Source organism: Homo sapiens, chromosome 1 (genome assembly GCF_000001405.40).
Source record: "Homo sapiens chromosome 1, GRCh38.p14 Primary Assembly".
NCBI lineage: Eukaryota > Metazoa > Chordata > Mammalia > Primates > Hominidae > Homo > Homo sapiens.
Window position 1 is genome coordinate 246,459,253 of NC_000001.11, and position 14,571 is coordinate 246,473,823.

At 40.1% G+C, this 14,571-nt stretch overlaps 1 protein-coding gene across 3 annotated transcripts in view; it reads right to left on the reverse strand.

Annotated features, from left to right (window-relative positions):
- SMYD3 (SET and MYND domain containing 3) overlaps positions 1–14,571 on the reverse strand; it is a 757,933-nt gene that overhangs the window by 709,906 nt on the left and 33,456 nt on the right. The gene's annotated exons all lie outside the window — the stretch shown is intronic.

The following is a 14,571-nucleotide window of genomic DNA, read 5'->3' on the forward strand; positions in this document are numbered from 1 at the left end:
TGTTCTCGTGATAGAGTCCTCAAGAGATCTTGTTATTTGAAAGTGGCTCCTGCTCTGCTGTTCTCATGATAGAGTTCTCGCGAGATCTTATTTAAAAGTGTGTAGCACGTCCCCATTCACTCTCTCCTGCTCTGCTGTTCTCCTGACAGAGTTCTCGCGAGATCTTGTTACTTGAGAGTTTGTGGCACGTCCCCCTTCACTCTCTTGTTCTGCTATTCTCGCAATAAGAGTTCTCGTGAGATCTTGTTATTTGAAAGTGCGTGGCACGTCCCCCTTCACTCTCTCCTGCTCTGTCATGGTAAGATTTCCCTTCTCCTTCGCTTCCAGTTTCCTGAGACCTCCCAGCCATGCTTCCTGTACAGCCTGCGGAACTGTGAGTCAATTAAACTGCTTTTCTTCATAAATTACCCAGTCTCAGGTAGTTTTTTACAGCAGTGTGAGAACAGACTAATACAGGTATCTTATCTGAAACCAGTGACTTGAAACTACTAACTCATGGCATACAGTAAATATCAAAAGACTAATTTATTCTACCACCTATAAGTCACATACAGTATTAAAGCCTGGAACCAAAATGTAAAACAATCAGGAGCTTTGGAAATAAACTGTCACGTGAACTGAAGATTCTTCTGTCATTTGGCTGCAGAGGAAACCATTCCGCCACCCAAAAAAAAAAAAAAAAAAAAAGCCACAAAGAAAGAAGCAGGGATGAAAAAACACAAGATAACACACTTAGGCTCTTGAAGTCATTCCACTTTCTAGTTTCATTCCCTTCCCAAATCACAAGACACACCCCTACGCTTGATTTCTGTGAGATACCCTGAATCCTTTTAATATATTCTTCTTTGCTTCAGCTAACACTGGTTTCTATTTCCTGCAAACAAACAAATTTCATACCAACCATAAGTACCACAGTGCTTTACCTCGACTGCCTTTATTATATCCAAGAACTTCATTGTCAAAAACATCTATTCCTTTTACAACTCTGATTTCACTTCTTACTCCTCTTCTCAATTACCAATTTATTCAAATATCTACTGAGCACCTGCTCTAGCACTTAGTAACAGAAAGATGAATATGTCATGGTCTCTGCACTCAAGCACAGTCTAGTCCAGTTTTTTCAAGCTGTGGATCTTGATCAATTTGTAAAATCAATTTACTTGTCCTGAGAGGAACTTTTTAATATTTGAAATATAAGAAAATTAAAATACTGCATCACAAGAAATTAAATATTATTTTCTACAGCTTTTGTTTCAGTTACATGTGTGTTTTTACTGAATAGCAATATAGTATGTATATCTCACTGTGGGTCATGAACAAAGGATTTGAAAAATACCAGTAGGCCCCTATTTCCTAATAATGTGAACAAATGCCAAGGAAGAAGTCAGTCAAAAGCTGTGCCTTAGAAAATCCTTTAGTGTTTTAATAAAAAATAATTTCAATTGGTGTTTTCCTAGTTTATGTTGATTTCATAAGTACTTGAAAACAGTTGTTGGTTTGCCTCAAGTAGATTAAACATTCCGTCTTGTTTATAGTTTTAATTAGCTAAACAAATCCTTTTCTCTTTGCCTTGAACATTACAAAGAAACTTCAATTCAGCATGTCAGAATTATTATAAACTCCTAATTAGCTAAGTACAAATTTAGTACATTTTTACCACACTTACAATGAATGCTGTCTGGGCTAAATAAACCCCAATCATCATAAGAGTATCTATCAGCTACAAGGCTACAAGCCATGACAAGTTAGCCTGAAGAAAAGACCATGAGGCAGAAGACAGCTGTGCTCAAATATTATTAAAGGCATAAAATGACTCTAAATTGTTTAAGGTAACTTCTGAAAAATGTAAGTTAAAGAGAATGTAGCAATACATCAAATAAGCGTTGGGCATCTTGTAGGATTTCTTGTATTAATAATCTGATTTTGTTTCAAGGAAAATTAATTCAAGCATGTTTATTCTCTAGTTTAAAGGCTGTCCATCTTTATCAGATAGTGGAAATTATCTGAAATTAGTGGAAATTAGTGGGAAAAAAAGTGGAAATTAGTCAACAAGAATATTTCCTAAATACCTAGTACATGTAGCTCCAGGTATTATGCAGAACACTACATATTTCTGGAAAAGTCATAAAATACTTCCAAATTATATACATGTTATTATGTTAAAATCCATAGTAAAAACTTAGAACAATTTTAGTGCCAAAAATAATCACATCATAAACATGTTTCTATAGAAAAATAGAAATCATATAAAGCACAGCAATCTATTTCCATGTGTTTTCAAAAACATATACTTGCTACTTATCTATTTGTTTTGCTAGAGAGAATTAGGTAACTAAAGGCTAAGAAAAAATATGTAAAAAAAAAATTAAAATTGAGGGGGCTGAGGCAGGAGAATGGCATGAACCCGGGAGGCTGAGCTTGCAGTGAGCCAAGATTGCGCCACTGCACTCCAGCCTGGGCAACAGAACTGGACTCTGTCTCAAAAAAAAAAAAAAAAAAATTAAAATTGAGAAAATGTATTCGCAAACTTTGTTTTCTCAGACACAGGAAAAGTACCACTATTAGCTGGTTTTCACAGAGCCACACACTTTTGGCATACCTGTGTTCACGTATTCATTCTCATTTATTCTAAATTAATTGATTGTCTGCCTAATTCTAGAGACATAAAGATGAAGGTACTCACAGTTTAGAAAAGGAACAAACGTATAAACCAAATGTAATTTAATTTGCAAAGTGCAACACAGAGTAGAGTACCTAATCCAGGCTAGTGTGGTAGGGAGGGCAAGGAAGGCTTCCACAAAAGAGGTGAAATCTAAAACAAAGGATAGGAGGCATCCAGGTGAAGGTTTGGTTTCTGAACACTTTTACGTGTGTGGAGGTGTGGAAAGCCTAGCATTGTGAGTACGGGCATGGCAAGAAGAATTCGCCTGCTGGGTACAGTGCATCCTCCCGCGGGGCCTGCTGGGTACAGTGCATCCTCCCGCGGGGCCTGCTGGGTACAGTGCATCCTCCCGCGGGGCCTGCTGGGTACAGTGCATCCTCTCGCGGGGCCTGCTGGGTATAGTGAATTCTCCCGTGGATGCTGCAGGACCCCATGCCTAGAGGTCTGGAGAACTGTGCTCCACAGTGATCAGCGGTACCCCCATCCTTGGACCTGCCTCTCCCACGACTCCATGGGGGCCTGGCCTCAAGTCATAGGCCCCCGACTGTGCCACTGTGTCCACTGGTAATTGTACACCTGAGCAATGGAAGGGTCACACAGACCCCACCACCCACAAAACTGCATGTCAGATCACCCCATCTCTGGGCGCATCCCTTGACCCCGAGGCTCGGAGGGCAGAAGAATCACCATCAGGCCATCTGGTATAGCTGAAACAAACTCAGCCTGGAGCTGAGAGAAGGGTCAGAACTGGAGGGCTACACAAACACACTAAGGATTTTGGATTTTATGTTGTAAGAAATCAGGATTCAGAGAAATCTTAGATAGCTCACTCTATGAGCTAACAAAAAACAGATTAGTAAATAAGAAATGAGAATTAAGAAACATTTTAGGTCGAAATGAGATACATACTATACAATTTGCTGGTAAACAAAGCAACAAAATACATTTTAATTGAGTAGAAAAAAAGAAAGAAAAAAATGGTAGGGGACAGCAAAATCACATCTAAGAGGCTGTGGCAGGGATGACATCCAGGTGAGAAACTGGGGGCCTGAACTGTGTAGTAGGCATGGAAAGGAGAATGCAAGAAAAACTTGGTGATATAGGAAGGAAAATGAAATGAACTTGCTGAATGACTGCAATGAGATTGAGAAAAGGAAAAAGTCAAGGAGTGGTTCAAGATGAGGCAGGGAGGGACACATAGGCATGCTAACAATCTGAAGCCCTGAACCGAGAACAGTAGCTAGGAGGGTAGGAGGGGAACAAGAATGAATACCAGGTGACGAATCAGGAGACTAAGATAGAAATTTAGGCAAGAGGTTATGGTATGATGGTTTCAACTAGGATGATGATAGCAGAGATACAGGGATATATGTATATTTGAGAAACATTCTACTGCTGAAATCAACAGGATTGCAGTTATTAGGCTAACAGGTCAGGGAGAGGGAGAGAGGATGTCACAAGGACAAAACAGTGGGGTACTAGTTACTGAAATAAGGAAGGTAGGAGAGAAGCAAATTTAAGAATGAAGATTGAGAATACTGTTTTAAACATGTGGAATTTCCAGCTCCTCTGAGATATCTAAGTTGAAATATCAACTAGACAGTTAAATACAAGAGTGTGGGGCCAGGCACGGTGGCTCACGCCTGTAATCCCAACACTTTGGGAGGCCGAGGCGGGCGGATCACGAGGTCAGGAGATGGAGACCATCGTGGCTAACACGGTGAAACCCCATCTCTACTAAAAATACAAAAAAAAAAAAAAAAAAAAAAACATTAGCTGGGTGTTGTGGCGGGCGCCTGTAGTCCCAGCTACTCGGGAAGCTGAGGCAGGAGAATGGCGTGAACCCAGGAGGCGGAGTTTGCAGTGAGCCGAGATCGCACCACTGCACTCCAGCCTGGGAGACGGCGAGACCCCGTCTCAAAAAAAAAAAAAAAAAAAAAAGAGTGTGGAATTAAAAGAAAGGTCTGTTTAGACTGAAATATAATTTCAAGAATAACAATTATATAAGTAATTGCAACTCTGTAAGACAACAGAGGAGGCATATGGACGGAAAAGATGGCCCAGAAACAGGTCTAAAATCTACACTTTAGATGCCAGGCGAGGATGAGCCTGCAAAGGAAGCTGGAGTCTCTGTTTATTAACAAAGGTTTTGAGAAATTTGGTTATGAAGAAGAGATGGTACAGTAGCCTTAAGAAGTGTAAGGCAAACGGAGAGGGTGCTCTTTGTTTTCTTTTTGAGGAAAGACAATATAGCATGTTTAAGAGCTGATGGGAATGTGTCAGTAGAGAGAGAAAAAGGTTTAAAGATACACAAGAAAAGGCCTGGTGCAGTGGCTCACTCCTGTAGACCCAGCACTTTGGGAGGCCGAGGTGGGCAAATCACTTGAGCTCAGGAGTTCAAGACCAACCTAGGCACCATGGCAAAACCCCATCTCTACTAAAAATTTAAAAACTTAGCCAGGAGTGGTGGCATGTGCCTATGATCCCAGCTACTCGGGAGGCTGAGGTGGGAGGCTCACTTCAGCCCAGGAGGCGGAGGTTGCAGTGAGCCATGACTGCTCCACTGCACTCCAGCCTGGGTGACAGAGACAGACCCTGTCTCAAAAAAAGGTATACAAGAAAGACAGAAAATATTCAATAGCATAAGTTTCCAAGAAGGCCAAAATACACGGGATCCAGGACCCATGTGAAGGGTTTAGCCCCTCCTCTCCACGATGGTGTCTAGGTAAACTGTTTGTGTGTCTGTAGGACAGTGGTTGAGGAAACACTCTTGGAGCCACACAGCATCCTCTAAATTCTCAGTTTTCTGGCTCACTGTGTTAAGATTAGTCTGGACTTATCAATAAATTGTTAGCCACTAAAGTACAACTGGTTCTGTGTAGTCTTTTTTTCCCCCATGGATCTGTTAATGTTTATTTATTAGTACTAGCATCTTCCTTTGTTCTCTGTGTTAAAGCAAAGAAAGAAGAGGGTTTTGTCATATAATCTGATTTTAGCTTGACTTGGGAAACTTGAGATTGTCATTTAATATATCTTCTTGCTTTAAGAAATAAATTCCTTGTGTTTACAATTAATTGATCACAACCAGCTATGGATTTCTTTGTTCCTTCGCCACTCCCACTGCTTTACTTGACAAGAAAAAAAGAAACAAAGAAATTCCTTGAAAATGAGGAATACAAACTGCAGGGATAAAATATAAATCAAACAAAAGCATCTCAGCTAAACCTCTTTTTTTGTTTTCCAGATGCTACTATCCTTCAAGATGGTAATTAATAAAAGAGAGAAAAATGCCTAAACACCAACTGATGTTTTCTTGTCAAATCTGTTTCATCAGACCCAAGGGATATGGCAGGAGATGGTATTCTACAAAATAATTCGGATTCTCTTTCTAAAGACTTGAATTGTTTCAGGAAAAATAAACGAATTCACAAATCAGTAATAATGCACTTGTAGGACTAACTATGAGCTGCCATCACTCTGTAAATGAATAAAACATAGCGGCATCTACTTCTAAAACTAGTGCCAAATACACCACTAATAACTCCTCGATGATGCAGGGAATCAGTGCTGGTAATTAACATAAATTAATGAAGGAAGTTGAAAAGTTCAGAAGAAGTATTAAAAGAACACCTATCGGGGCGGGGCACGGTGGCTCATGCCTGTAATCCCAACACTTTGGGAGGCTGAGGCAGGAATTGCTTGTGCCCAGGAGTACCAGACCAGCACCAGCCTGGGGAATATAGTGAGACCATATGTCTACAAAAAAATTAAAAATCATCTGGATTATTAAAAAATAAATAAATAAAAAACAGATGCTGGTAAGGCTGTGGAGAAAAGAGAACACTTAAACACTTGTTTTTTGTTTTTCATTTTTTTGAAACAGAGTCTCACTTTGTTGCCCAAGCTGGAGTGCAGTGGCACAATCTCAGCTCACTGCAACCTTGCCTCCTGGGTTCAAGCAATTCTCGTGCGCCTGCCTACTGAGTAGCTGGGATTACAGGCAAGCACCACAACACCTGGCTAATTTTTGTATTTTTAGTAGAGATGGGGTTTTGCCACTTTAGCCAGGTTGGTCTCAAACTCCTGGCCTCGTGTGATCCACCTGCCTTGGCCTCCCAAAGTGCTGGGATTAGAGGCGTGAGCCACTGCTCCTGGCCACTTATACACTGTTGGTGGGAATGTAAATTAGTTCAACCATTGTGGAAAACAGTGTGGTGATTCCTCAAAGACCTAAAAACAGAACTATCATTTGACCAGCAATCCCATTACTTGGTATATGCCCAAGAGAATATAAATCATTCTAACCTAAAGACACATGCACATGTATATTTACTGCAGCACTATTCACAATAGCAAAAGCTGAAATGCCCATCAATGGTAGAATGCATAAAGAAAATGTACCTATACACCATGGAATACTATGCATGCGGCCATAAAAAGAACAAAATCATGTCCTCAGCAGGAACATGGATGGAGCTGGAGGCCATCATCCTTAGCAAACTAACACAGGAAAAGAAAACCAAATACTGCAGGTTCTTGCTTAAAGGGGGAGCTAAATGATGAGAACACATGGACACATAAAGAGGGACAACAGACACTGGGGCCTCCTTGAGGGTGGAGGTTGGAAGGAGGGAGAGGATCAGGAAATATAACTGTTGGATACTAGACTTAATATGTGGATGACAAAATAATCTATACAACAAACCCACATCACATGAGTTTACCTATATAAAAAACCTGCACACGTATCCCTGAACCTAAAATAAAAATTTTAAAACTAAAAATGAGCTGGGCATGGTGGCACATGCCTATAGCCCCAGCTACTCAGGAGGCTGATGGGGGAGGATCACTTGAGCCCGGGAAATCAAGGCTCCAGTGAGCCATGATCATGCCACTGCACTCCAGCCTGGGCAACAGAGTGAGGCCCTGTCTCAAAAAGAATAATAATTTTTAAAATTTTTTTTTTAAAAATGCTGGGCGCAGTGGCTCACGCCTGTAATCCCAGCACTTTGGGAGGCCAAGGCAGGTGGATCACTTGAGGTCAGGAGTTCAAAATCAGTCTGGCCATCATGGCAAAACCTCATCTCTACTAAAAAGACAAAAAAATTAGCCGGGAATGGGGGCGTGTGCCTGTAATCGCAGCTACTTAGGAGGCTGAGGTAGGAGAATCACTTGAGCCCAGGAGGTGGAGGTTGGAGTGGGCTGAGATCACATCACTGCACTCCAGCCTTGGCGACAGAGTGAGACTCCATCTCAAAAAAAATAAATAAATAAAATTTAAAAATAAAATACACTTACCAATAAAACAATGGCAAGTTGCTGTGACTCTATTACTTAGGACAGGAGAGACACATCATTTGACAGAATTAGATTTCACATACTTTAGGATGCTACCTGTTTTGCTTGAACTACCCAACATAAATATAAGGGAAATAATAAAAATATAAGAGCAGAAATAAATGAAATGGAGGCTAGAAAAACAATACAAAAGATCAATGAAACAAAGAGCTGGTTTTTTAAAAAACACAAAATTGACAAACCTTTAGCTAGACAAAAAGAGGGAAGACTCGAATAAAGAAAATCAGAGATGGAAAAGGAGCTATTACAATGGAAATACTAAGGATCGTAATATTATGAACAACTATAGGTCAACCAACTCAATAACATAAAAAAAGAGATAAATTCCTAACACATACAATCCAAGATAAAAGTCTCCCATCAAAGCAAAGCCCAGGACCTGACAGCTTCACTGCTGAACTCTAAAAAGCAATTAAAGAACTAGTACTAATTCTTCTCAAACTATTCCAAAAAATGGAAGAGGAGGGAATACTTCCAAACTCATTCAAAAAAGCCAGCATTATTCTGACAGCAAAACCAGACAGACACAATAAAAGAAGAAAATTACAGACAAATATCCCTGATTAACATAGAGGCAAAAATCCTCAACAAAATATTTGTAAACCAAATTCAGCAGCACATCAAAAAGAGCACTCACCAGTACTTGCAGAGGCCAAGGTGGGCAGATCGCTTGAGCCCAGGAGTTCACGACCAGCCTGGGCAACATGGCGAAACCCCGTTTCTACTAAAATTACAAAAATTAGGCGGGCGTGGTGGCACATGCCTGTAGTCCCAACTACTCAGAAGGCTGGGTTGGGAGGATCACTTAAGCCCAGGAGGTGGAAGTTGCAGTGAGCCATGATCTCACCACTGCACTCCAGCCTGGGCAACAGAACAAGACTCTGTCTTAAAAAAAAAAAAAAAAGATAATTCACCATGATGGAGTGGGATTCATCCCAGGGACGCAAAGATGGTTTAACATAAGTAAATCAGTAAACATGATACATCACATTAACAGAATGAAAAACAAAAAATATATGATCATTTCTATAGATGCAGAAAAAGGCATTTGACAAAATTCAATATGCCTTTTTAAAAACATTTACAGTTCAGACATGGTAGCTCACATCTGTAATCCCAGAACTCTGGGAGGTTGAGGCGGGCAAATCGCTTGGGCTCAGGAGTTCAAGACCAGCCTGGGCAACATGGTGAAACCCCATCTCCACAAAATATACAAAAATTAGCCAGGTATGGTGGCACATGCCTGTAATCCCAGCTACTTGACAGGCTGAGGCAGGAGAATCACTTGAACCCAGGAGGCAGAGGTTGCAGTGGGCCAAGATCACACCACTGCACTCCAGCCTGGGTGACAGAGTGAGACTCTGTCTCCAAAAAAAGGAAAAAAAATTAATAACAATAATAATAACAAATAAAAATTAACAGGGCTGGGTGTGGTGGCTCATGTCTGTAATTCAACATTTTGGGAGGCTGAGGTGGAAGGGTTGCTTGGGGTCAGGAGTTTAAGACCAGACTAGACAACAAAGCAAGACATTACCACTGGAAAAACTTTAAAAATTAGCCGGGCATGGTGGTACATGCCTGGAGTCCTAGGTACTTAGGAGGCTAAGGCAGGAGGATCACCTAAGCCAAGGAGTTGGAGGCTACAGTGAACTATGATCATACCACTGTACTCCAGCCTGGCCAACAAGACTGTGCCTTCAGTCATTAAGCCTCTGTACATGGTAGCCTTTTCACGCTAAACCCAGGCTACTGCCTACCCACTGGCCCATTCAGTACCTCCACATTCCATCACTAGAGCAAAAGAGAACTTCTGGATCCCCAGCATGACAAGCACATGCCATGAAGAACTCAGAGTTGCCATATGTGGCCAGTCTCCTTGGCCACTCACTGGAGAGGCCTCTCTGCTGTTAGCCACCTGCTTTCCACAATCACTCTCATCTATCTGACACACCTCCCAAACAGAGGAGGTCTCACCAACGACTTCTTCAATCTTGGTCTTCTTCCATTCCACAATTCCCCTTGGCCGAAAAAGGCCCAAACTTATTATAAATCTTACTACCTAGCAGTCAAGGCATGGTGTTAATATGTCAACAAAAGCTAAAGGGATTTTTTAAATGGCTGAAACCAGGCTGAGAAGGCAAAGTACAACATAAGCCTGGAACATTTTGTTGGACTGGAACATTTTGTCATTCCAGAGAGTAAGAAAGTGTTCCTAAAAATTATGGAGGTAGATCAAATACAGAAGCCAGCTTGAAGGGGCTCCCATGAGTCAAATCAGTGACAATTTCAGCATCAAAATAAATAAGAACAATAATGGAACAAATAGGAACCAATGGAACAAATAGGAACCCATGAGTCCATACTAATAATAAATAGATACATAAATAAATAGAGGAGAAGGTAAGGCTCCTCCTTAGAAGAAAATAAAGACATAAATGTGGAGGGAACCATAAATAATGATTCAGGTAAGAACCAATCAATAATAGATGTTAACTCTATGGAGGAAAAAAAACTGACGAGGAATAGACATTTGCATGGTCTCAAAGTGTCTCCCCACAGACTGGCTCATTAGTTACAAGGGGAAAAACAGTAACTACTCACCCAAGGCTGTATCTTAACCAAGTGATTAAAACTTCACCAACTAGGAGCAGATGGACATTGTGTGCTTCCTGGTGTGATATCCTCAGAACAACACAGTATCACACATACACTACATAAATACTGTCTTATGTAATACTCTGGCTGGGGTTGAAAAATTCAAGTCTAATCATGAGAAAACATCAGACAAATCTAATTCGGTTTTTTTATTCTATAAAATAACTGACTTGCATTCTTCAAAAATATTAATATCATAAAAGATGAGAAAAGGCTGAGGAACTACTCCAGATTAATGGAGACTAAAGAGACATGACAACTACATGTATTAATATATAATCCAGCTGGACACAGTGGCTCATGCCTGTAATCCCAGCACTTTGGGAGGTCGAGGCGGGAGGATCACCTGAGGTCAGGAGTTCGAGACTAGCCTGGTCATCATGGCAAAACCCTGTCTCTGCTAAAAATACAAAAAATAATTAGCTGGGTGTAGTGGCACACACGTGTAATCCCAGCTACTCAGGAGGCCGAGGCAGGAGAATCGCTTGAACGTGGAAGGCGGAGGTTGCAGTGCCCAAGATCACACCACTGCATTCCAGCCTAGGAGACAGAGCAAGAATCTGTCTAAAAATAAAAAAAAATTAAAAAAAAAAATATATATATATATAATATATACACATACATACACTATATATACACACTATATATATACACACACACTATACATTGTGTATATATACACACACTATATATATACACACTATATATATAGTGTATGTATGTGTATATATACAGTGCATATGTGTGTATATATATAGTGCATATGTATGTGCATATATATATACATACACACAAAAAAAATCCTACACTGGATCTTGGACTAAAGGAAAAAAATGCAACAAAGGACATTATTGCAACATCGACAAAATTGGAAAAATGAACTAGAGATCAAAAGTACTGTGTGAATGTTAAGTATTTTGGATTTGACTAAGTGTAGAATGGTTATATAAGAGAATATCCTTGTTCTTAGGAAATGTACACTAAAGTGGTAAGGAAAGAGACATTAGGTATGCAGCCTACCCTCAAATAGTTAAGAAAAATAAATAATATTTATGTATGTGTGTTGTGTGTGGGGGGTGGTGTGTATAGAGAGGAAATAAATAAATATGATAAAGCCAATAGAGCAAATGTTAAAATTTGTTTACTTAGATAAAAGGCATGTAAGGGTTGTCTGTACTATTCTTCCAACTTTTCTGTAATTTTAAAATTATTCCAAAATAAAGCTTTTTAAAAGCAGTTTGACCAATTTTAAAAGATGTTTTAATTTTTTTAATTTTTATTTATTTTTTTAGAGATGGGGTCTTGCTGTCCCCCAGGCTGAAGTGCGGCTGTATGATCATGGCTCACTGCAGCCTCCAACTCCTGGGCTCAAGTGATCCTCCTGCCTAAGCCTCCTAAGTAGCAGGGACTACAGGCACATGCCACTACTCCCAGTTAATTCTGTTTTTTTGTAGAGACAGGGTCTTGCCATGTTGCCCAGCCTGGTCTCAAAATCCTGGCCTCAACTGATTCCCCATCCTTGGCCTCCCAAAGTGCTGGGATTACAGGTGTGAGCCACCATGCCTGGCCCCATATTTTAAAATAAGACTGCATTAACCTGTCATCTTTAATTTCAACCATATAAGCAAGGTAACAAAATAAACTTTCCAGTGAAGAAGATCTAAAAATTAATGTGATATAAAGCATAGATAAACATTTTATGAGAGGATTAAAACTTCAACTAGCACAGCAATTATGCACTGGCGCTCTGCTTACTGTTCCACTCGGATTTCATTTTGGGCTCATCAGGGATCCCCTGAGTAAGATTAAAACACTTTATATCTTATCTATAAATAGATCATTACATTTGCATAGAAAGAAGTTTGATAAAAATGTAGAAAGACTACTTCTTAAGTTAACTAGGCTAAAAACTATGCAGGTACCAAATTTGGCTCCTAATCTCAGTGGCTTTTAAAAGCTAATTAGCAGGAAGCACAACCCAAATATAGAAAGTGAAGACAATCAGTCCAATCTTGGGGAACAAAAACCTAAAGTAGGTGTTACTTGTGATGTATTATGCTCTGAATAAGTCCATTAAAAGCATGTAAGCATTCAACCAAAATATTTGATTTTAATTTTTCAATGATTCCAGATGTTCTTTAAGTTGAAAAAAAACAAAAAAAAGGAAAAATGAAAACCAAAGGTTAAATAGGCAACACTCCAGCACAAGCCACAAGGGGCCTCAGAAAAACACACACACCACACTCCTACAAATCCACCCGCCTAGCACCCATACAGAACGTGCCATAGGTAATTATGATCATCAGAGGCTTTTGATCTTGTGGAAGAAGAAAAAAAAGAAAACAGAAAAGTGACAGGCAGCCCTTTTTGCAATTTAATGAGTGGAATATGCTTCTACAATAGCTGGAAGCACCTTTTACTATGTTGTTTTTTGTTGTCATTGTTTTTCGCTATACCTGCTAGATTAGAATTTTATTTTGTTTTTAAATTTTTAATCAAAGCAATATATACCATATGGTTAAAATGGCAAATAGGCTGGGCATAGTGGCTCATGACTGTAGCCCCAGCACTTTGGGAGGCCAAGACGGGCAGATCAGTTGGGCACAGGAGTTTGAGACCAGCCTAGGCAACAGAGTGAGACCCTGTCCCTACAAAAAACAGAAAAACTTAGCTGGGCATGCTGGCATGCGCCTGTAGTCCCAGCTACTGGGGAGGCTGATAGGGGAGGATCGCTTAATCTCGGGAGGTCAAGGCTACCCCGAGCCATGATCACACTACTGCACTCCAGCCTGGGTGACAGAGCAAGATCCTGTCTCCAAAAAAAAGTCAAACAGAAAAAACAAAAAGCTTCCTTCTCCTGCTCCCCAAGGCAATCATATCTAACTATTTCATTTCAGGGAGTCTCCCGCAGTTACTCTCAAATTTCTTTTTTTTTTTTTTTTTTTTTTGAGACAGAGTCTCACTCTGTCACTGAAGCTGGACTGCAGTGGAGCAATCTCAGCTCACTGCAACCTGTGCCTCCCGGGTTCAAGTGATTCTCCTGCTCAGCCTCCCAAGTAGCTGGGATTACAGGCACATGCCACCACACCCAGCTGATTTTTGTATTTTTAGTAGAGACTGGGTTTCACCATGTTGGCCAGGCTAGTCTTGAACTCCTGACCTCAGGTGATCCACCTGCCTCGGCCTCCCAAAGTGCTGGGATTACAGGCATGAGTCACTGCACCCGGCCTAATGAATCTTTTTCATTCCCTCATTTGGTAGGTATCTTAATGTTTTAGTTTATCTTTTTACATGGCTTAGGTTCTGGCAATACGAGAAACTATTAAGTTAACTGGTTCTACATCTTGGAGATAAATAGCACTTCAGCAGTTTGAGTTCAGAATATATTTAGAGTAAACCTGATTTATTATGTTATTATTCATTTTATGTTATATATTTTGAAATTCAAAAAAAATGCCTTGATTCCTTATTACTTTTGCTAAGTATTCTGCTCATCTCAGAGAAGAAAGTGTTTTTGGACTAGCTCTGTAAATTACCACTCTAGGCTTGTTTCAGAACCATTTTTCTAAAAACATTATTTTATAAGGTCAGTTGCTTCTAGCTAGGAATATTACTGATTTTCTAATAGGCCTTGTTGGGTTTCAAAAACACTTTTTAATGTGCTAAAATTGCCCCCCACCACCATAGCAGACAGACAACTACCCAGCTATGCACTGGTGATCTAAAAGCCATTTATGACATATTGTTATTATTATGACTTACTGTTATTACAGTATAAGAGAAGAGGCGGAACACATATGCCTCAATCCCTTCAGAGTTTGTTTTTTGGGGCGAGGGGGTACCACTCCTCCATGACTTAAGTTTTAAAGAGGTATGCTCTGCCCCTCAGGGGAAAG